Source organism: Homo sapiens, chromosome 14 (genome assembly GCF_000001405.40).
Source record: "Homo sapiens chromosome 14, GRCh38.p14 Primary Assembly".
Classification (NCBI taxonomy): Eukaryota; Metazoa; Chordata; class Mammalia; order Primates; family Hominidae; genus Homo; species Homo sapiens.
The window spans coordinates 74,979,600-75,002,563 of NC_000014.9; the positions used below are offsets into that span (position 1 = coordinate 74,979,600).

Below are 22,964 nucleotides of genomic sequence, written 5' to 3' on the forward strand. Positions count from 1 at the left end.
AGTGGAGGGGTTTTCAAGGCAAACCTGGCAAGAAGGCAAGACGGATTGCATTTCAGCCTGAACGTGCCTGGGATATGCACATGTCTCCCCAGGCCTTAGGGGCATTTCTTGCCTAACACCACCAGTGGGAGCTGGCTCTGCCCCTGCCTACTGAGGCTGACAGCTGGGCCTGTGTGCTCCCTCCACGGCTGCTGCCGTCTCTAGCGCCCTGGCCTCCAGCACATCCAGCAGTGGAGGGGATGCCCCTTATTCCAGCCATAGCCTAGAGCAGCCAAGAGCCAGCTCTTACTCACAGAGAGCCTGGGGCACTCCCTCAGGGAAGAGCCTGAGGGGACAAGCAGGTGGGAGGCCGATGTGGCCTGGGCCTCGGCCTGAAGAGTAAACAAGGAAGGCTCTGGAAAGCTCGTGACCCACAGGCCTTCACGCCAGACACACAGCCTTCCTCCTTCCTGCCTAGGACCTCCGAGAGGGACCCCGGGAAGCCAAGAGGACACGGAGGATGCGTGGGGAAGAAAATAGCCAGTGTCCCTCCTGGGCGGACGTAAGCACACATCCCCAGGTGCATGCATGCGCACACATGCTCATGCACACAGGCACGAATGCAGGGGGGAGAACTCAGAAGTGTGGAACAGCTGCCCAGCAGAGAGGGCTGGAGGGATGCTCTTGGGAGAGGCAGGGCCAGGGACCTAGTGGTCTTTGGAGAGCTCTTCACTCCTGAGATTGTAAAAAAATGCTCCCACAGGTACCACCCAGACCTTGGAGGGGGTCACAGAGATTCTCCCACAAGGCACTTAGGCCAATCAGGGAAGAGGACATCCATCCATTCCGTTTGCCAATATCCTTAGTAAACTTACTCTGTGCCAGGCTCCATGCTGGGAGTACAGAGGCCACCCGCAAGGCTTGACTAGCGCCAAGCACCAGTGGGAATGTGGGAAAGAAGGTCCCTACTGGAAAAGCTCATCCTCCACATGGAGCTGGCTGGGCAGTTGCGGAGGGACTGCAGAGCAGGCTTTGGCCAAGCTTAGTCCTGGATGAAGACCCTGCACCCCCACCCCAGCTAGTGGCCAGCTTAAAAGGAGCCTGGAAAGGCTGATGTCTGCTCTCTGCCCACAGCCCACCCCCATCCCCACAGTCCTGGCCCTGGCTGGGGCCCCAGGAAGGAAATCACTAAGGAGGATTGAGTGTCAATTCACAACCTAATCCCATCAGCGCACACAGCTACAGCACGGGCCGCCCCCTCCCCTACTCTGCAGACCCTGGCGGCTGCCGGCTGTCAGGCCCGGCCCCTGCCTGGCTGCGAGGCCAATTACTGCGGCCTTAATCACCACGGTGGCGGCGGCGGCGCGGCGTTAACAACTGTCTGCTCATCAGTCTCCTTCCTGGGGCGTCGTGGAGGGGATGACCCCATGCGGCTCTCCTCGAAGGAGCTTGAAACTGGATCCCAACAACAGCCCGATGGCCGCCGTCCAGGGAAACGCCTGGCTCCCTCCTGCTGCCTGCTGGTCTCCTGTGTGTTTGCCCAGCTCCTCCTGTCCTGGGGCTGAGAGCCCATGAGGACATGCCCGGGGACCCCGCATCCGCTGAGCGAGCACTAAAGCCATGGTTCCCTCTGGTTAGCACTGCCAACAACTGAGCCCGGGAAGACCGACGCTCCCTGCCAGCCAGAGCAAATTGGGTGCCCGGATGTTGAGGTCTGGTTGGCATTTCCTGTGTTGGCTTTGGCTGGTGAGGCCAGGCCAGTGGGCTGCCCTCTTGACCTGAGCGGAGTCAGGCAGGCACGTCCCAGACTCTTGAGCCCACTGAGTTCTTTCCTGCGCCCCACAGGGAGTCTTGTTCTGGAAAAAAGATCTCCCTCCCCGCCTGGGTTCATGCTGAGCAGCCTTCCCTGCCTTGTAGGGTGCTCTGACAGCCTGAGGCCTGGCCGGCCCCCAACCTGGCTGCCTCTGCGCCTGCTCCTTGGGCTCAGGCGGATCTTGGTGCTTCCTGGATGTGGTGAGGCCCCTCTGCACGTGGCCCTCCAGGCTGTGGTCCGGGAGAGGACTCTGAGCTCCTCTGATCTGCTCCCATCTGTATGTGGAATAATTTCTCCGGCCCAAAGCCTGGACCCCTAGGAGCCGTCAGCACCGGGTTCCAGCTTGGGAGCCTGCGGGAGCTCCCATTCCCCACCCTTGAAGGGCCAGCTTCACCTGAAGGCTTCAACGGTGCTGGCTCCAGTTCCTCAGCCCTTTTTTTTTTTTTTTTTTTTGGCATTGGGTCTCTGGGACATCAGATTGTCCAAAACAAGACGACTTCATGATACTTGTTTTTCCAAAGAACACAGTCTGTACACAATCAGGCTTTCTGTGTGCAGCGTGGATCCCGCTGCCCCTGCCCTAGTCGCCCCATTCCTGCCCTAGCCAGATCCCTCTGGGACATGGAGTGTTCCTCATTCCCTGTGGCCAGAGGTCTCTGGCCTAGGGCTGAGCAAGGCTGGGCAGAGAGGGCAGAGCTGATCCCACCCCACAGACCATCACTGGCCCACAGTGCTTCCTTTTCTTCTCCCAGACTTGGGATGCCAGGAGAGCCCCTGGGAGAAGCAGCAGGACGTGGGAACCATCTAGAGCACAAGCTCTGGAGTTAGACCTGATTATGAATCCCAGCTCTACTGCACACCAGCTGTGTGCCTTAAACACAGTACCAAATGGAACCCGGTCCCTTGGTCAGCAAAACGGAGATAATAAAGGTACTTGTAGCACAGGGTTTGTGTGAGGGGTCAGTGGGCCCGGCCCATAGTAAACCCTCAACAGCTGTCATTTACATAGCTACTCCTCTGCATGGGGCTGGCTGGGCAGCCACTAAGGGGTCTGCAGAGTGGACCTAGGCCAGCCTTAAGCCACACCTGGGATAGAGATGCTGTACCCCCACCCCACTAGTTGCTTCCTTGCCCAGGCTGGCTCTCTCCCGAGCCACTCGGCTCCATGGCCATCAAGGATTTAAGACAGGGAGCTGCAGGAGTCCCTGAACCCTTGTTTGTAGAGCTCTCCACCTTTCTCCAGGGAGAGATGAGGCACAGCCCAGCACCCCAGGTCCTCAGGGCCAGGCCCATGGATGCTCAGAAATTTGCTGAATGTGTGGTGAGCAAAGGAAAAGCCTCTGGATTTCCTACCCTGCTCATGGAGGAGCAGTGGGCATGATTTTTCTGGAAAGTTTGGGGGGATATTTATCAAGAGACTGGGGAGTGTTTATCACTTTGAAGAGCAATTCTACTCCTGGGGTTCTCCCTTGGGAAATCACCTGAGACGTCAGAAGTCAGGCAGGGCCACAGGAGGGCCCTCCAAAAAATTTCTACCAAGATGTTTTTCTCGGGGCCATTTATAATAGTGAACAAACAAACCAAGCAGACAAAGAAAGTATCTCAGTATTTAAGAGTAGGATACTGGTGAAATACGTGCCATTCCATCTACGAGGAATGAAAAGGCAGCCCTAAAAATCATGTTTAGGGCCAGGCATGGTGGCTCACACCTGTAGTCACAGAACTTTGGGAGGCTAAAGAGGGTAGATCACTTAAGTCCAGGAGTTTGAGAACAGCCTGGGCAATGTGGCAAAACCCTGTCTCTACAAAAAATACAAAAAATTAGCTGGGTGTGGTGGCATATACCTGTAGTCTCGGCTACCTGGGAGGCTGAGGTGGGAGGATCACCTGAGCTTGGGAGGTCAAGGTTGCCGTAAGCTGTGATTATGCCACAATCATCCCAGCCTGGGTGACAGAGTGATACCCTGTCTTAAAAAAAAAAAAAGAATCATGTTGAGAAAAAAAATTTAATGACATGGCAACAGCTGAGTTAAAAAAAAAATCAGAGTATTTAACATCTGACAAAGTATAATCTTGAAAAACAGGTTATGAATGGATAAACAAAATGTGACACACAACAGAATATTACTCAGCATTTAAAAGGAAGGAAATTCTGACACATGCTGCAACATAGATGCACCTTGAAGCTAATATGCTCAGTGAAAGAAGCCGGACAGGAAAGGACAAATACTGTATGATCCACTTAGGCAAGGTACCTAGAGTTGCCAAATTTGGAGAGACAGAAAGTAGAAAAGTGGTTGCCAGGGGCTGGGGGGAGGTGGGAATGGGGAGTTAGTATTTCATGGGTACAGAGTTTGGGAAGATGAAAAGTCCTGGAGCTGGCTGGTGATGATGGTTGTAAAACAGTGTGAATGTACGAATGCCACTGTACACAAAATAATGGTTAAAATGGTAAATTTTAGGGCCGGGTGCGGTGGCTCATGCCTGTAATCCTAGCACTTTGGGAGGCCGAGGTGGGCAGATCACAAGGTCAGGAGTTCGAAACCAGCCTGGCCAATATGGTGACACCCCATCTCTACTAAAAATACAAAAAAATTGGTCCGGGTGTGGTGGCACACGCCTGTAATCCCAGCTACTCGGGAGGCTGAGGCAAGAGAACTGCTTGAACCCGGGAGGCAGAGGTTGCGGTGAGCTGAGATCGTACCTCTGCCCTCCAGCCTGGGCAACTGAGCGAGATTCCATCTCAAAAAAAAAAAAAAATAAATAAATAAAATTTTTAAAAAGGTAAATTTTATGTTATGTCTATTTTACCACAACTTTAAAAATAGCTTATGGGGAAATATGTCAAGATGTTCATAATGAATATTTTTGAATGAAGGGACTAGGGGTGATCTTGATTTCATTCTTTTTAGTTTCCAGCATTTTCCCCTTAGTAAATGAGATGTTTGGTTGTGTTTGTTCTTGGTTTTAAAGAAGCTTTCTCCAGCATCTCCCAGATGTGTGCGGGGGCTGGGCGAGCGGGGAGAGGCTGGGTCCAGCTGCAGTTAGAAACGAGGGAGGCCACAGTCATCTGGGGAGGGGTGGCTCAGAGAGGGCGTGGGGCTCCTAGGCTCCCCTAAACTCTCTCAGCCCTACTGGCTGGCCTCCTTCTCTGCCTGCCCTCTATGCTTGGGCCTCGCCCATGGGCCTCTCTCCCCAGGAACAGCTCTGTCACTAGCCTGAAGGGGCTGCCCTGGGCCTAGTGGGAATGTGGGCTCGGGGCTTTCTCAGACGGTCAGTGCCCTAGACGCCTTCCCGCTGCTGCTCCGCCCCATCCCAGCTGCAAAAACAACAGCCCATACCCAAAGCCCTGTTATTGCAGCCGAGAGTGGAGCCTCAGTGGACAGCGGAAGGAGTGGGGATGGGGCCGGCCAGCCCTAAATGGACCTGGGGCAGGGGCTCCTTGGGGAGGGGTAGAGTCCCCTCCTGCTCCTCCTGGGGAAGCCTGGCTCTGAGGTGTGTGGGGGAAGGCGCTTGCAGGGGCCTGTGGGACTTGGGGACTGAGGGTCAACTCTGCCAGTGGCCTCCCTGTCTCCCTGGGGACTGTGGGAGGTGGGAGCAAGAGGGGGGAGGAAGTAAAGCCACTTGGGAACCCGCTGAGCCAAGCCGTGGGCAGGAGGCGGCACCAGCGTGGCTCCCGGGGGGGCCAGGGCCAAGGCTTTCCCACGGAGTGTGACTGGCCACTGGGCTCTGCAGAGCTGTCCACCCCAGGCTGGGGCCTATGAGCCTTGGGAAGTTTCTGTGCTCTCTTCCCTTAGGGGATAGGGACTGGCGGCCCCGCATTCAGAACCCAGCAGGACTCTTCCTCTCCACTCCCCGGTGCCCTCAGGTGTGTGCCAGGCATCTTATCGAGGCTGGGGCTCGGCTCTCAGAAGCCTGACGCCCAGCTTCCTTGGCACCCATTCCACTTTCATCTGTCAGCTTCATACTCAGGGGGCAAGGAGAGGGACGCAGAGCTTCTATCACCAAGGTCCTGAAGGCTTTAGAGGCTGGTGGGAGCCTGGCCCCTGTCTGACCCCTCAAGGCCATTCCTCCCATTCTAACAAGAAGGATGTGGCCGTGGTGGAATTAGGAGGCACTGTGGCAGTCTCTGGAGACAGACACCCTGGGTTAGAACCTACACTTGGTCCCCACCAGTGGCAAGCCACTCAACTTGAGCCTCAGCTTCTTCTGCTGTAAAATGAAGATGTTAACATGCCTATGTTACCGTACAGAGCCCTGGGAGACTTCGAGGTGATTATAAAAAGTCTCTGGCACAATGCAGGTGCTTCATCAGTGCAGGCCACTGTGATTCTTCTTCCTCAAGCCCCAAGAAGGGAAATTAGCTGAGACTGGAAAGAATTTTCTGACTTCAGTTATCCCCACCTCCACATTCTGTGCAATGGAGAGAGCAGCTTGAGAAGTTTTGCCTTCTTGCCCGAAAACCCTGCTCAGAAACCAGTTAATCAAACTACCCTCTGAAGTTAGACAATGACTGTCTGTTAGAATATTCCTGGCCACGGCCATCAAACCAGGGACAGAAACTATTCCTGGGACAGAGGGGAGTCAGATGCGAGTGAGGGAGTGTTGGGCCTCTGGGGTCTGCTGCCTGCAGGTTGGTCACCGAGGGCCATGTCTGCTCCAAGAGTGGCAGGAATCTGCTGGGACCCAGGACACAGGCATCTGGACGGGGCTGCACCACCATGCAAGGAGTCCTTGAAAGAGACATTCTCAGGTAGTTAAAATAACTGGGGAGTCCTTGAAAGAGAGGAGTTATCAAAATAAAAGTCGATATTATTTTTCTCTGAATTGTCCAGTCTGAAATTACAACCAGGTCTACCAGAATCACCTTTTATGGAGAGTTCTAAAAATTCTCTTATGTAATGGGTATCCAGACCTGCTACTTTAAAGATCGGTAGTAGGTCGGGTGCTGTGGCTCAGACTGTAATACCAGCACTTTGGGAGGCCAAGGCCAGTGGATCACCTGAGGTCGGGAGTTCAAGACCAGCCTGCCCAACATGGTGAAACCCCATCTCTACTAAAAATACAAAAATTAGCCAGGTGTGGTGGCCCACGCCTGTAATCCCAGCTACCCAGGAGGCTGAGGCACGAGAATCACTTGAACCCAGGAGGCAGAAGTTGCAGGGAGATGAGATCGTGTCACTGCACTCCAGCCTAAGTGACAGAATGAGATTCTGTTTCAAAAAAAAAAAAAAAAAAGGCCAGTAGTAGTACATGTCTCTAAATGTTTGAGATCCTTACCATTTATCAGAGTTCCCTGTTACTAACATCTCCACTGACAGACAAGGTCACCCAGCTTGTGAGGGGCAAACTCCAGGAGATGTGTGTGACTTTCAAACCCCAGCTTTTAAATGATTTAACGTTCAGTGACTAAGAGAATAACTGGCTACTGGGCCTTGATCGCCACTTGTTTTTTCTTTCAGAATCTCAGACTATATTGTTTTGTGTACCTAAATGATTGGACATTCTCACTTAGCAGAAGGGACCTATCAATTGCAGAATAACTATCTGTTGACCAGAACCAACCCATCTCATAGGGCTGTTGTAGACACCAAAAGAGATAAGGAAAATGAAAGTCTCTAACCAAAAAGCAAAAATCCTCTAAAGTATAAGGGATGATCTGTTTATTAGTATTGAGTTTCTCCTTGTACAGGGCCTGTTTCCAGTATGCAATGTTGGTGCTTGGTATAAAGGTGCATAATAAATATTTGTTACATGTTAAATATGTTGATCTATGAAGAGCAACAATTAATACACAATCCTACTAACAATAGGGTAAGATTGTTTTTTTTTTTCTAATCACGTACCCTGGGTTCCACTACCTGTGTCTGTCATTAGACTTTCCCTTCAAATTCCTAGCAATTGGCCTGGCGCAGTGGCTCACGCCTGTAATGTTAGCACTTTGGGAGGCCGAGGCGGGTGAATCACCTGAAGTCAGGAGTTTGAGAACAGCCTGGCCAACATGTTGAAACCCCATCTCTACCAAAAATACAAAAATTAGCCGGGCGTGGTGGCGCGTGCCTGTAAATCCCAGATAGTCAAGAGGCTGAGCCAGGAGAATCACTGGAACCCAGGAGGCAGAGGTTGCAGTGAGCTGAGATTGCACCACTTCACTCCAGCCTGGGTGACGAGATCGAGACTCCTTCTCAAAAAAAACACACACACAAAAAAAACGATTCCTAGCAATTGATCATGATAAAGTGTCAGGGAAGCTCAAGAACAGAGCCAGATGCCACAAAATATAAATCTGTATTTAGAGCAAGATTAATTTCTTGTTTAGCAGAAGCAACCAAATAACACACTCCTCCCTTGACTGAAAATAGGCTTGGGCTCCTGGGAGGACACAAGAAGCTTAGGCAAGGCTCTAGCAACCCAAAAAGTTAAGCCAAAGGGGAATTTGTTGAGAAGTCCAAGGGTGGCTGTACCTTCAGCCATGGCTAGATCTAAGGGCCCATGTCAGCTCATCTCAAATCATCAGCTCATCTCAAATCATCAGCTCATTTGTTCTTTCTCCCTCTGTCTAGGACTGGGCTCTACTTGCTTCTCCTGGAGCAGCTGGCTGACTTTCTCCTACACTAGACAAGCTCTCCCCATGAGGCAGGAAAGGTAGCCACCGCTAGTCCAAAGCCAACCTCTTTACAGCAGATGAGGACAGAAACCTGCTTTCTTCCAGGGTCCATATAGCAAATCACAGGACTGAATGGCTTTGCATGACCAATCAGCGTGGAAGTTGGATGATGGACCAGTCCCAGGTGTGGGGGGCCAGGCCTGTGGTTAGGGGCCACTTGGGGCACGAGGAGGTGCTGGGATTGACAGTTCCACCCAAATCACATGAGATGAGGAAGGGCAGTTCCCAACGGAAAGCGGGTGCAGGGCAGACAAAAACAACAGGTGTCTACTACAATAGCACTTGTTCTCAGGTTGCATAGAGACATGACTTATCCACCAAAACAATCAGAGAAGGATAAAAACAGTAGTGCATTCACATGCCCAAGTGTTGAGTCAAAGGCCTTCAGGAAAAGGAAGTGATCCTATGGCCTAAAGGAGATTCTTTGGAACAGAAGGATAAAGACACAAACATTTTAGTAAGCCTTGCTGCCCCCAGTTCAGAATTATCATCATAATCACCGTATTCTCCAAATTAAGTCCAGGAAACTGTTATTTGATAATTATGCAGACAATCAGCCATAATGTTTGGAATTGGGACATTTCTGGAAAATCTGGAAGATTTGATCAACATAATCATATTTCTGGCTGAAAGAATGGGCCTGATGGATTTCTTATGTTTCTTACAAATAACTTTTACTTCTCATTATGAACGGCATATGTTAACTGTAGAAATTTTGGAAAATACAGAACAGTACACAAATAAAAATAAAAATCATTCTTGCATTTTATTAGAGTTGGGTGTGACTGCAAGTGATGGAAACTCCTAGATAACTGTGGAAGTTAAACAAGACTGAAGTTTATTTAGCTCTCAGCTGTATGAAGCCCAGAGGTGAATATTCCAGGCTGGTATGGGAGCTCCACTCCGCAGAGACCTCAGAGTGTGCAGGCTCCTTCTGGCTCACTCCTCTGCCATCCCTACAGTAGGACCTGTATCCTCATCACCTAAGCTGGCAGAGCAGAAATGCAGCAAGAAAGAGAAAGTCATGAAGAGGCCAAAGACCCATCCCAGCTATCTCCTAGGGAAGGTTCTCAAAAGCAGCAACAAAATGTTAATACTTCCACACCTTCCCATTGGTAAGAACATAGGCACATGGCCACATCTACCTGTGAAGGAGACTGGGAAATGTAGTTTCTATTCTGGGTGGCTATTTTCCCAGCTAAAACTCTATTACTATAGGAGGGGAGAGTGGCTTTGGGAGCAATTGTCTCTGATAAACCTGTAATCGTACTATCCAGAGATAGTCACTGTTAATGTCATAGTATATGTCATTATACACACTTCACACACACACACCTATATACATATATATGTATGTGTAAGAATATGTGTATTGTGTATATTTATATATATATAATACATACAAATAAAGTATATTTTTAGAGTGAAATTGAGGTCCCACCAAATATACTATTTTTACATCCTGCTTTAAAAAAATTATAGACTTTAGGCCGGGCACGGTGGCTCATGCCTGTAATCCCAGCACTTTGGGAGGCCGAGGCGGGTGGATCACGAGGTCAGGAGTTCAAGACCAGCCTGGCCAAGATGGTGAAACCCCGTCTCTACTAAAAATTCAAAAATTAGCCAGCCGTGGTGGCAAGCACCTGTAATCCCAGCTACTCAGGAAGCTGAGGCAGAGAATTGCTTAAACCCAGGAGGCGGACGTTGCAGTGAGCCGAGATTGCACCACTGCACTCCAGCCTGAGTGACAGAGCAAGACTCTGTCTTAAAAAAAATACATATAGAGAGAGACTTTAAACAGCCTCTTTCAAGATCTATTTTAGCATTGTGTCATTTAACAATTACAGCTAGAGTTACTTTAAAAATTCACTGGGCACAGTGGCTCACGCTTGTAATCCCCGTGCTTTGGGAGGCCAAGATGGGAGGATCTCTTGAAGCCAGGAGATCAAGACCAGCCTGGGGAACATAGCAAGATCCTGTCTGCACAAAAAAAAAAAAAAAAAAAAAAAAAAAAAAAAATTAGCCAGATGTGGTGGCCCACACCTGTAGCTGTAGTCCTCACTACTTGGGAGGCTGAAGGGGGAGGATCAGTTTGAGGCTACAGTAAGCTATGATTGGACCCCTGCACCCCAGCCTGGGCGACACAGTAACCCTGTCTCTTAAAAAAAAATGACCATCCCCCAAATGTAATGCTTTATAATTTTATAATTTTCTTTTAAATAGATGTTTTTATTTCATAAATCCTGGTTTTGTTTGTTTAACTATTTATTTTGAAATAATTGTAGATTCACAGGAGGTTGCAAATAAATGTATATCCTTCTCTCTCTTGCATCCTTCCCCCCAGACTACTCCAATGCTAACATTTTATACAACCATGACACAATGTCAAAACCAAGAAAATGACATTGGTACAATCCACAGAGCTTATTCAGATTTCATACATGCATTCCGTGTGTGTGTGTGTGTGTGTGTGTGTATATGCACAATTTTATCACAGGTAGTCTTGCATAACCACCACCACAATCAAGAAACCCAAGTGTACTATTAATATCACAAGATTCCTAGTGTTACTCCTTTGTAGCCACACATCCCACCCATCTGTAACTCCTGGAAGCCACTAATCTATTCTTTATTTCTATAATTATGTTATTTCATGATTGTTACATAAGTAAAGTTATGCAGTATGTACACTTTTTTTTTTTTTTGAGACAGGGTCTTGCTCTGTTACCCAGGCTGGAGTACAGTGGCGTGATCTCAGCTCACTGTGACCTCTGCCTCCCGGGTTCAAGTGATTCTTGTGCCTCAGCCTCCTGAGTAGCTGGGATTACAGGCATGTGCCACCATGCCTGGCTAATTTTTTTTTTTGTATTTTTAGTAGAAACGGGGTTTCGTCATGTTGCCCAGGCTGGTCTTGAACTCCTGGGCTCAAGTGATCTGCCTGTCCCAACATGCCAAAGTGCTGGGATTACAGGCGTGAGCCACCACTCTTGGCCTATACTTTTGAGATGGGTTTTTTTCACTCAGCATAATTTCCTTGAGGTTAGTCTAAGTTGTTGGATATATCGATATTTCATTCCTTTCTATTACCGAGCTGTATTCCATGGTATGGATGTACAGTTTGTGTAAACATTCACCAGTTGGAAGACATTGGGTAGTTTCCAGTTGTTGGCTATTATGAATAAAGCTGCCATGAACATTCACCTGCAAGTTCCTATGTAGACGTTCTTCATTTCTCTGGGATAAATCACCAAAAATACAATTGCTGGGTTGTATTATAAGTTCATTATTAGTTTTGAAAGGGACTGCCCAACTATTTTCAAGAGTGATTGTGTGCAATCCGCCTTTTAAAACTGATAATACGGCCGGGCGTGGTGGCTCACGCCTGTAATCCCAGCACTTTGGGAGGCCAAGGCAGGCGGATCATGAGGTCAAGAGATGGAGACCATCCTGGCCAACATGATGAAACCTCATCTCTATGAAAAATACAAAAATCAGCTGGGCGTGGTGGTGCGCACCTGTAGTCCCGGCTACTCGGGAGGCTGAGGCAGGAGAATTGCTTGAACCCAGGAGGCAGAGGTTACAGTGAGCCTAGAGCCTAGATCGTGCCACTGCACTCCAGCCTGGTGACAGAGCAAGAGTCCATCTCAAAAAAAAATAAATAAATAAAAATAGAAAATAAACAAAACTGACAATATGTTATCAACAGTTCTCCTTATTGTTAAGCATTTACCATATCAAAATTCCAAAAATCGATATTCCATTGTATGACTGTACTATAACATTCTTTTGTTTTGAAAATAATTATATAACAAATACGCAATCATAATTTCCATTTCAGTTTTGAAGAATCACAAAGATACATGGAAACTATAAAGCACCTGAGGTACCTTTCAGCTTTCAAGTCTCAAAAACAAGAATTACTTTCAATAGAAAGTAGCTCATCTTCCAAGTTTAAGAGAATAAAGAAGAGAATAAAGAGAATAAAGCTAATACCATTTTAGCTCCAAATGTTAATCAGACTACTTTATATCAAGGTAATATAGCTCGCAAGCATGGTAACAGCCAGGTTGAAAGTACTTTTTGTACTATAATGTTCTAGACCAATCTCCTAATTTTTAATATTTAGGTTTATTTCTGATTTTTGTGTTAAAAATAATAAAGTGAAAAATATTATTGTGGGCTGGGCGCAGTGGCTCACGTCTGTAATCCTAGCACTTTAGGAGGCTGAGGTGGGCGGATCATTTGAGTTCAGGAGTTTGAGACCAGCCTGGCCAACATGGTGAAACCCCATCTCTACTAAAAATACAAAAATTAGCCAGGTGTACTGGCTCAGGCCGGTAATACCAGCTAGGCAGGAGGCAGAGGCAGGAGAATCACTTGAACCCGGCAGGCAGAGGTTGCAGTGAGCCGAGATTGCACCATTGCATTCCAGCCTGGGTGACAAAACCAAAACTCTGTCTCAAAAAGAAAAGAAAACAATAAAAATAAAAGAAAAATATTATTGTGGATAACTGTATGCCTATTTCTGATTATTTCCTTAGAATGCATTTCTAAACATGGATATGCTGGCTCAAAGGGTATAAATGAACATTTTAAAGTCTTTTGCTGTTTTCCCAACTAAAACAGCTACTAAAAGGTGCTTTAATTTGCGCTCCCACAGGAATATATGAGAATTGGGACAAAATTTCTAAAAATACTAATATCGCAGCACAAATGGCAGTCAAATGGTTGGTATCTTAAATGCAGTATATAAATAGATGTTACAAATCAACTAAAAACAGATAAATACCCAATATCAAGTTGCTTTGGACTGCAAGTGATAGAGAACTCCATTCAAAATTATATAAACAATAGAGAAATGTATCATTTTACATAAAGAGTCTAAAGGTAGGGCAACTTCTGGTTTTGTTGATTTCATACAAAATTTTAATAAAAGATACCACAGTACATAGACTAAAAGTTCAGGCTCTGAAGCCAGACTGTTGTGTTTACATTCCAGCTCTTCCACTTACTAGGTGTGTAACATTGAGCGAGTTACCTATTTTTGCCTCAAGTTTCTCTTTTGAAAATGGTTACATTAAGAGCACCTATCTCAAGGTTTTTGTAAGAATGAAAAGAGTTAATATACATAAAATACCCATTAAGTGTTGATATTGTCAAGAGCCTAGGTCCTTTCTGTTTTTCTTTTCTTCTTTTTTGGTAAGGGGGAGGCAGAGCTCACTATGTTGCCCAGGCTGGTCTTGAACTCCTGGCCTCAAGCGATCCTCCCACTTCCGCCTCCCAAAGTGCTGAGATTACATGTGTGAGCCACCACACCCAGCTTCTTTCTGTTTTTCTGTTCTCCTATCCTCAGCATGTTAACCTTATTCCCAAGTCTTGAGACCTCAGGTCACAAGACAGCTGCAGTATGTCCAGGCATCATATTCAAAAAGACCAGCGATAGAAGAGACTAAGTAGTCTTCTCTGCTTCCTTCTTAAGAGCAGGGAAACCTTTCCAGGTAATCCCAAACAGACCTCTTTCATATCCTGCTGGCTAGAAAATAGGTTACGCTACACCAATTTGTAAAAACAGGAGAATGGAATTACCATGATTGGTTTAGACCAATTAGGGTTTACCCATGAGTTACAGTCACCTTATCTGTAGACAGAAATCAAGCAAAATCAGTTCTGTTAACGAGGAAGAAGAAAGAAATGAATTTGGGTGGATGACCAAAATATCTGCCACACATTGCAGAAAAAGGGGCAAACCATATGACCAGAAATTCATAAGAGAAGAAATGCAAATAAATATATGAAAAAATGTTCATCTTAACTAATAAGCAAAGAATGAAAATTAAAAGGAGTTGTATTTTCACTATCAAGTTGGCAATGATGAAGAAGAATGATAATCATCTACAACAGCAACAAACATAGTGAGAGATGACAGCATGCTGGCAGTCCTCAGAGCCCTCACTTGCTCTTGGCACCTCCCCTGCCTGGGCTCCCACTTTGGTGGCATTTGAGGAGCCCTTCAGCCCCCCCCAGTGCACTGTGGGAGCCCCTTTCTGGGCTGGCCAAGGCTGGAGCCCACTCCCTCAGCTTGCAGGGAGGTGTGGAGGGAGAGGCACGAACGGGAACCGGGGAGCGCTTGTAGGCCAGCTGGAGTTCCGGGTGGGCATGGGCTTGGTGGGCCCCGCACTCGGAGCAGCCAGCCAGCCCTGCTGGCCGCGGGCAATGGGGGACTTAGCACCCGGGCCAGTGGCTGCGGAGGGTGTACTGGGTCCCCCAGCAGTGCCGGCCAACCGGCGCTGTGCTCGATTTCTCGCCGGGCCTTAGCTGCCTTCCCGCGGGGCAGGGCTCGGGACCTGCAGCCCGCCATGCCTGAGCCTCCCACCCCCTCCGTGGGCTCCTGTGCAGCCCGAGGCTCCCCTACGAATGCCGCCCCCTGCTCCACGGCGCCCAGTCCCATCGACCACCCAAGGGCTGAGGAATGCGAGCGCAAGGCACAGGACTGGCAGGCAGCTCCACCTGCAGCCCCAGTGCGGGATCCACTAGGTGAAGCCAGCTGGGCTCCTGAGTCTGGTGGGGACATGGAGAGTCTTTATATCTAGCTCAGGGATTGTAAACACACCAATCAGCACCCTGTGTTTAGCTCAAGGTTTGTGTGTGCACCAATCGACACTCTGTATCTAGCTGCTCTGGTGTGGGGCCTTGGAGAACCTTTATGTCTAGCTCAGGGATTGTAAATACACCAATCAGCACTCTGTATCTAGCTCAAGGTTTGTAAACACACCAATCAGCAACCTGTGTTTAGCTCAAGGTTTGTGAGTGCACCAATCGACACTCTGTATCTAGCTGCTCTGGTGGGGCCTTGGAGAACCTTTATGTCTAGCTCAGGGATTGTAAATACACCAATCGGCACTCTGTATCTAGCTCAAGGTTTGTAAACACACCAATCAGCACCCTGTGTTTAGCTCAAGGTTTGTGAGTGCACCAATCGACACTCTGTATCTAGCTGCTCTGGTGGGGCCTTGGAGAACCTTTATGTCTAGCTCAGGGATTGTAAATACACCAATCGGCACTCTGTATCTAGCTCAAGGTTTGTAAACACACCAATCAGCACCCTGTGTTTAGCTCAAGGTTTGTGAGTGCACCAATCGACACTCTGTATCTAGCTGCTCTGGTGGGGCCTTGGAGAACCTTTATGTCTAGCTCAGGGATTGTAAATACACCAATCGGCACTCTGTATCTAGCTCAAGGTTTGTAAACACACCAATCAGCAACCTGTGTTTAGCTCAAGGTTTGTGAGTGCACCAATCGACACTCTGTATCTAGCTGCTCTGGTGGGGCCTTGGAGAACCTTTATGTCTAGCTCAGGGATTGTAAATACACCAATCGGCACTCTGTATCTAGCTCAAGGTTTGTAAACACACCAATCAGCAACCTGTGTTTAGCTCAAGGTTTGTGAGTGCACCAATCGACACTCTGTATCTAGCTGCTCTGGTGGGGCCTTGGAGAACCTTTATGTCTAGCTCAGGGATTGTAAATACACCAATCGGCACTCTGTATCTAGCTCAAGGTTTGTAAACACACCAATCAGCAACCTGTGTTTAGCTCAAGGTTTGTGAGTGCACCAATCGACACTCTGTATCTAGCTGCTCTGGTGGGGCCTTGGAGAACCTTTATGTCTAGCTCAGGGATTGTAAATACACCAATCGGCACTCTGTATCTAGCTCAAGGTTTGTAAACACACCAATCAGCACCCTGTGTTTAGCTCAAGGTTTGTGAATGCACCAATCGACACTCTGTATCTAGCTGCTCTGGTGGGGCCTTGGAGAACCTGTGTGTCGAAACTCTGTATCTAACTAACCTGATGGGGACGTGGAGAACCTTTGTATCTAGCTCAGGGATTGTAAACGCACCAGTCAGTGCCCTGACAAAACAGGCCACTCAGCTCTACCAATCAGCAGGATGTGGGTGGGGCCAGATAAGAGAATAAAAGCAGGCTGCCCAAGCCAGCATTGGCAACCCGCTCAGGTCCCCTTCCACACTGTGGAAGCTTTGTTCTTTTGCTCTTTGCGATAAATCTTGCTACTGCTCACTCTTTGGGTCCACGCTGCTTTTATGAGCTGTAACACTCACCGCAAAGATCTGCAGCTTCACTCCTGAGCCCAGCGAGACCACGAGCCCACCGGGAGGAATGAACAACTCCAGACGCGCCACCTTAAGAGCTGTAACACTCACCGCGAGGGTCCGCGGCTTCACTCTTGAAGTCAGTGAGACCAAGAACCCACCAATTCCGGACACAATAGAAAGTGGCTAATAATAGGTCTTAACATGAGATGTGCAAGGCCTACATGGAGAAAATTATAAAATTTTACTGAAAGATAGTAAAAACCTAAATAAATGGAAATATATACCATGTTCATGGAAAGACTTGGTATCTTATTGTCTTAAAGTTGTCAATTCTCTTCAAATTGATTAATAGATTTAAAGCAATTCCAACCAAAATATCAATAAAGTTTTTAATTTAAATACGTTTCAGCAATGCTGTTTCTAAAATATATATGGAAGTGGCTGAGCCACTAGCCCATGCCTGTAATCCAAGTATTTTGGGAGGCTGAGACAGGATCACTTGAGGCCAGGAGTTCAAGACCAGCCCAGAAACATAGTGAAACCTTGTCTCTACAAAAAATAAAAAAATTCGCTGGGCATGGTGGCACACACCTAGAGTCCCAGCTACATGGGAGGCTGAGGCAGGAGGATTGCTTGAGCCCAGGAGGTCAAGGCTGTAGTGAGCCAAGATTGCACCATTGCATTCCAGCTTGAGCAACAGAATGAGACCCTGTCACTAGAAAATAAAATAAAATATTGGCCAGGCATGGTGGCTCACGCCTGTAATTCCAGCACTTTGGGAGGCTGGAGTGGATGGATCATACTGCGATTTTGCCATTGCACTCCAGCCTGGGCAAGAGAGTGAGACTCCATCTCAAAAAATAATAATAATAAAAAATAGGCCAGGTGCAGTGGCTCACACCTGTAATCCCAGCACTTTGGGAGGCCAAGGAGGGCAGATCATGAGGTCAGGAGATGAAGACCATCCTGGCCAACATGGTGAAACCCCATCTCTACTAAAAATACAAAAATTAGCTGGGTGCGGTGGCACATGCCTGTAATCCCAGCTACTCGGGAGGCTGAGGCAGGAGAATTGCTTGAACCAGGGAGTCGGAGGCTGCAGTGAGCCAAGATCACGCCACTGCACTCCAGCCTGGCGACAGATCAAGACTCTGTCTCAAAAAATAAATAAATAAATACAATAATAATAATAAAATAAAATATAAAATAAAAATGCAAAGGCTCAAAACTAGTTAAGTAATTTTTAAAGAAAAGAATTAAGCAAGAAAAAATTTCTTACCAGAGATAAAAACTTTTCAATAAAACAATAGTTGCTGGGTGCAGTGGCTCATGCCTATAATCCCAGCATTTTGGGAGGCCAAGGGGGGTGGATAGCTTGATCCCAGAAGTTCAAGACCAGCCTGGGCAACCTGGCAAAACCTAATCTCTACAAAAAATACAAAAGGCTTGTGTCTGTAAATCCCAATTACTGGGGAGGCTGAGGTGGGAGGATCAATCACCTGAGCCTGGGAGGTCAAGGCTTCAGTGAGCTGTGATGGCGCCACTGCACTCCAGCCTGGGCAATAGAGTGAGGCCCTATCTTAAAAAAAAAAAAAAAAAAGACAATTGTTAAGATAATATCATATTGATTCAGAAATAGGCAAATTCAGCAATGAAACCAAATAGCCACCAAACAGACTCACATATTATAGAAACTTGACATATGACAGTGGTGACATTAAAAATCACTGGAGAAAGAATGGAAAAATAAAATTGGATTCACACCTCTCACCTTACATAAAAAGCAATTCCAAATTATATGTAATTCCAATTCCAATTATATGTAAAGATAAATGTTTTAGTAATCAGAAGAAAATATAGGAGATTATATTTATAATTGTGGATTAGGGAAGAATGTCTTCTGTTTTTTTGTTTGTTTGTTTGTTTGTTTTCAGACAAGGACTCACTCTGCCACTCAGGCTGGAGAGCAGTAGTATGATCACGGCTCACTTCAGCCTTGACTTCCCAGGCTCAAGAGATCCTCCCACTTCAGCATCCCAAGTAGCTGGGACCAGAGGTGTGAGCCACCATTCCTGGCTAATTAAAAAAAAATTTTTTTTTGTAGAGACAAGGTCTTGCTCTGTTACCCAGGTTGGTCTCAAGCTTTGGAGCTCAAGTGATCTTCCCACCTTGGCCTCCCAAAGTATTGGGATTACAGGCGTGAGCCACTGCACCTGGATGGATTTTTAAATTTTTTTATTTTTTTGAGTTGAAGTCTCACTCTGTTGCTTAGGCTGGATTGCAGTGGTGCTATCACAGCTCACTGCAAATTCAAACTCCTAGGCTCAAGCAAACCTCTCACCTCTGCCTCCCAAGTAGCTGGCACTACAGGCACATAGTAGCTGCCACTGTACTTGGCTAATTTAAAAAATTTCTTGTAGAGATGGCATCATGCTATTTTTCCCAGACTTGTCTAGAACTCCTCGCTTCAAGTGATCCTCCTACCTTGGCCTCCCAAATTGTTGGGATTATAGGTATGTAATCCCAACACCTGGCAAATCCACTGCACTTGGCTGAATTTCTGAAATAAGACAGAAAAGGCATTATGTAAAAAAGACAAGGTTGATACATTTTAACACATTAAAATCAAGAATTCTGTTCAAAGACATCTCAAAGTAAAGAAGACAAGCCATAATTGGGAGAAGACACTTATTTATATAATAAATAATTGAAAGAAGATTAGTATCTAGAATATAAAAAGAACTCTTACAAATCTACTTGGAAAAATTTTTAAGCCAAAAACAGTAGGTAAAAGGCACAACAAACAATTCACAAAAAACTCATGGCCAACAAACACATGAAAATATGAACAGTAATCAGGAAAATGCAAATTAAGACCACAGTAAAATATACTTTTATACCTACCTGATTCCCAAATAATAAGATGTTTGGTAATAACACATGTCAGTAAGGATGTAGGTCAGCTGAAAGTCTTTAAATATTGCTGGAGGGAGCATACATTAATTGAACCACTTTGTACTACTAGATCTATTTGTAAAGTTGAACATTCGTATAGCCTCTGATCTAGCTGTTCCACTTATATAAGTGCCAAGACATACACAGGACTATTTATAGTTTATGTTCACCCACCCCCCTAAAAAGATTGGAAACAACCCAAATATCTGTTGAAAAAAATGAATACATAAATTATGCTACAGTCACATGAAATATTAGTGCAAATAAGAGAACTACAAGTTCTTACCAGTACAAATTCACCAGTGCAAATAAGAGAATAACAAGTACATGTAACAACATGGATAAATTTTATGAATGTCATATTGAGCAGAAAAAAGTGAAATATACCACATATTTCCTAAATTGTAAAATAACACGGAACATAAATTTTACCATCTTAACCTTTTTAAGTGTACAGTTTAGTGAAACTAAACTGGCATGAAGTACATTCACATTGTTGTGAAATATAAATGCACAACCAGGCCGGGTGCAGTGGCTCACGCCTGTAATCCCAGCACTTTGGGAGGCCGAGGCAGGCGGATCACGAGGTCAGATAGAGACCATCCTGGCTAACATGGTGAAACCCCGTCTCTACTAAAAATACAAAAAAATTAGCCGGGCGTGGTGGCAGGCACCTGTAGTCCCAGCTACTGGGGAGGCTGAGGCAGGAGAATGGCGTGAACCTGGGAGGCGGAGCTTGCAGTGAGCTGAGATCGTGCCACTGCACTCCAGCCTGGGTGACAGAGTGAGACCCTGTCTCAAAAAATAAATAAATAAATAAATAAATAAATGCACAACCATTATCCACCATCTATCTCTAGAACTCTTCTCAACTTGCAAAACTAAAACTCTGTAGCCATTAAACAGCAACTCTCTCCCTCCCCTCAGACCCTGGCAATCACAGTTCTACTTTCTTTCTTTCCTTTATCTTTTTTGAGACAGGGTCTTGCCCTGCTGCCCAAGCTGGGGTGCAGTGGCAGGATCATAGCTCACTGCAGGATCATACATAGCTCACTGCAGCCTCGACCTCCCAGGCTCAAGAGATCCTCCCCCCTCAGCCTCCCAAGTAGTTGGGACTACAGACATGCATTACCACACCTAGCTAATTTTTAAATTTTTTGTACAGCTGGGGGTCTTGATATGTTGCCAGGGCTGGTTTCAACTCTTGGGCTCAAGCCATCCTCCCACCTTGTCCTCCCAAAGTGCTGGGATTCGGGTGTGAGCTACTGTGCCTGGCCAACACAGCTTTGCTTTCTATCTCTATTAATTCGAATATTTTAGTTTCAAAGTGAGGGATTGGTTCACATTCCTCAACCTGTTTGTCGTCATGCTTTATAACTTGCATACACACACATATAAATTCTTTAGTATATATAAAATACTATATACCTTGTTTTTTTTGTTGCTGTTGTTGTTGTTTGTTTTTGAGACACAGTCTTGCTCTGTCACCCAGGCTGGAGTGCAGTGACACAATCTCAGCTCACTGCAACCTCCACCTCCCAGGTTCAAGCTATTCTCCTGCCTCAGCCTCCCTAGTAGCTGGGACTACAGACATATGCCACCACCCCCCACTAATTTTTGTATTTTCAGTAGAGACAGGGTTTACCCACGTTGGCCAGGCTGGTCCCAAACTCCTGACTTTCAGGTGATCTGCCCACCTTGGCCTCCCCAAGTGCTGGGATTACAGGCATGAGCCACTATGCCTGGCCTATATACCTTATTTTCTTAATGACTTGATATATGAAAAAATAACGACAATATCCAAAATTGGCTATAATATGGTAAATGCTAGCCAGCATGTAAATTGATACAATTTTAAAGACATTTAAAAATTAACACACAATTAGCCAGGCATGGTGGTGTGTGCCTGTAGTCCCAGCTACTCAAAAGGCTGAGGTGGGAGGATTATTTGAGCCAGGGGAGGTTGAGGCTGCAGTGAGCAGTGAGCATGCCACTGCACTCCAGCCTGGGCAACAGTGTGAGACCCTGTCTCAAAATAAACAAACAAATCAATAAATAAAAACTAAAACACAGCAAAATTGACACATATTTTATGGCTTTTTAGAGCAACTGTATTTTCAACTTCAATTTCTGATGCTCATTGCTAATACATAGAAATATAGTTTTTGTATCCTTGCTAAACTTATGTTCTAGGAGGTTTTGTTTTTGTTGCTGTTGACTCTGGGATTTTCTGTGTACACTATCATGTCTTCTGTGAACAGGGACAGTTTCTTTCCATTCTGTATGCTTTTTCTTTTTCTTGCCTTATTGCAAGGGCTAGGACTTCACGTATAATTTAAATAGGAGTGGTGAAAGTAGACATCCTTGCCTTGTCCTGATCTTAGGGAGAAAGCAATCTTTTACTGTGAAGTATGATTTTTAGGTGTAGGATTTTGTAGATACCCTTTATCGAGTTCAGGAAGTTCCCTTTTGTTCTAGTTTTCTGAGAGTTTGTACCATGAATATTGAATTTTGTCAAATGTTTCTTCCTGCATCAATTGACATGATCATGTGGTTTTACTTCTCAGATTGTTAATATGGCATATTACATTGATTTTTAAGTGTTTAATCAGCTTTGCATTCCAGGTTTATGTTTCACTTTGTAATTACATATTATTCTTTTTTTATGTATTGCAGGATTTGATGTGCTAATAATTTGTTGCAATTTTTGCTTCTATGTTCATGAGAGATATTAATCTGTAATTTTCTTTTCTTTGTACTACCTTTGGCTAACTTTGGTATTGACATAATCTTTTTGGAGGGCAATTTGTTAATTGTAACAAAAGTCTAAAATGTGCTCGCCTATGGATTCCACTTTGAAGAATTTATCTTAAGGAAATAGAGATTTCTATTACACACATACTTTGGGTTCAGGTAGACCTGGATTTAAGTATGAACCCAATCCTTTATTAACTGCTTAAATTCTGTGGGTCTGTTTCCCAATCTGTAAAATGGGGATAAGAGGACCTATTTCAGACCTTATTAACTGAGACAATTCACACACAGTGCCCAAGAACCAGTAAGCTTTAAGTAAATGGTAACTCTTGGTATTATGTTATACTCTCTGGCCTCTCTGTAGGAGGACAATTCTGTCCAAATCAGAGGATGTCATCTTTGCTTCTGTATTGGCTCCCACTTTGAATCTCCTTAATCTTCCTCATCTCTAATTTCGCCGTCTTCTGTTAGACGTGTTAGGCCTTGAGAATACAAAAGCAACAAAAGATATCGTCCTTGTTTTCAGAGACATGAACCTCCTAGACACAGGCGCAAACGGTACCAAGCAATGTAACAGAACAAAAGTGAGACGTCTGCCCAAGGGGCAGCCGACCCTGGACATGCATTCAGAGCGTCAGTGTCAGCTGACACTCGGGAGTGACAGCTCGGGCAGTCACCGAG

The 22,964-nt window shown here is 46.0% G+C and overlaps 4 annotated features.

Annotated features, from left to right (window-relative positions):
- Positions 323 to 948: an enhancer, noted in NCBI's record as "H3K27ac-H3K4me1 hESC enhancer chr14:75446625-75447250 (GRCh37/hg19 assembly coordinates)". NCBI's record gives its function as "activates a minimal SCP1, AML or CMV promoter by ChIP-STARR-seq in naive H9 embryonic stem cells {active_cell/tissue: H9 hESC(naive)}" and the evidence as "EXISTENCE:reporter gene assay evidence [ECO:0000049][PMID:30033119]".
- Positions 949 to 1,574: an enhancer, noted in NCBI's record as "H3K27ac-H3K4me1 hESC enhancer chr14:75447251-75447876 (GRCh37/hg19 assembly coordinates)". NCBI's record gives its function as "activates a minimal SCP1, AML or CMV promoter by ChIP-STARR-seq in naive H9 embryonic stem cells {active_cell/tissue: H9 hESC(naive)}" and the evidence as "EXISTENCE:reporter gene assay evidence [ECO:0000049][PMID:30033119]".
- Positions 1,575 to 2,198: an enhancer, noted in NCBI's record as "H3K27ac-H3K4me1 hESC enhancer chr14:75447877-75448500 (GRCh37/hg19 assembly coordinates)". NCBI's record gives its function as "activates a minimal SCP1, AML or CMV promoter by ChIP-STARR-seq in naive H9 embryonic stem cells {active_cell/tissue: H9 hESC(naive)}" and the evidence as "EXISTENCE:reporter gene assay evidence [ECO:0000049][PMID:30033119]".
- Positions 22,869 to 22,958: an enhancer, noted in NCBI's record as "active region_8734". NCBI's record gives its function as "activates an Ori minimal core promoter by ATAC-STARR-seq in GM12878 lymphoblastoid cells {active_cell/tissue: GM12878}" and the evidence as "EXISTENCE:reporter gene assay evidence [ECO:0000049][PMID:35858748]".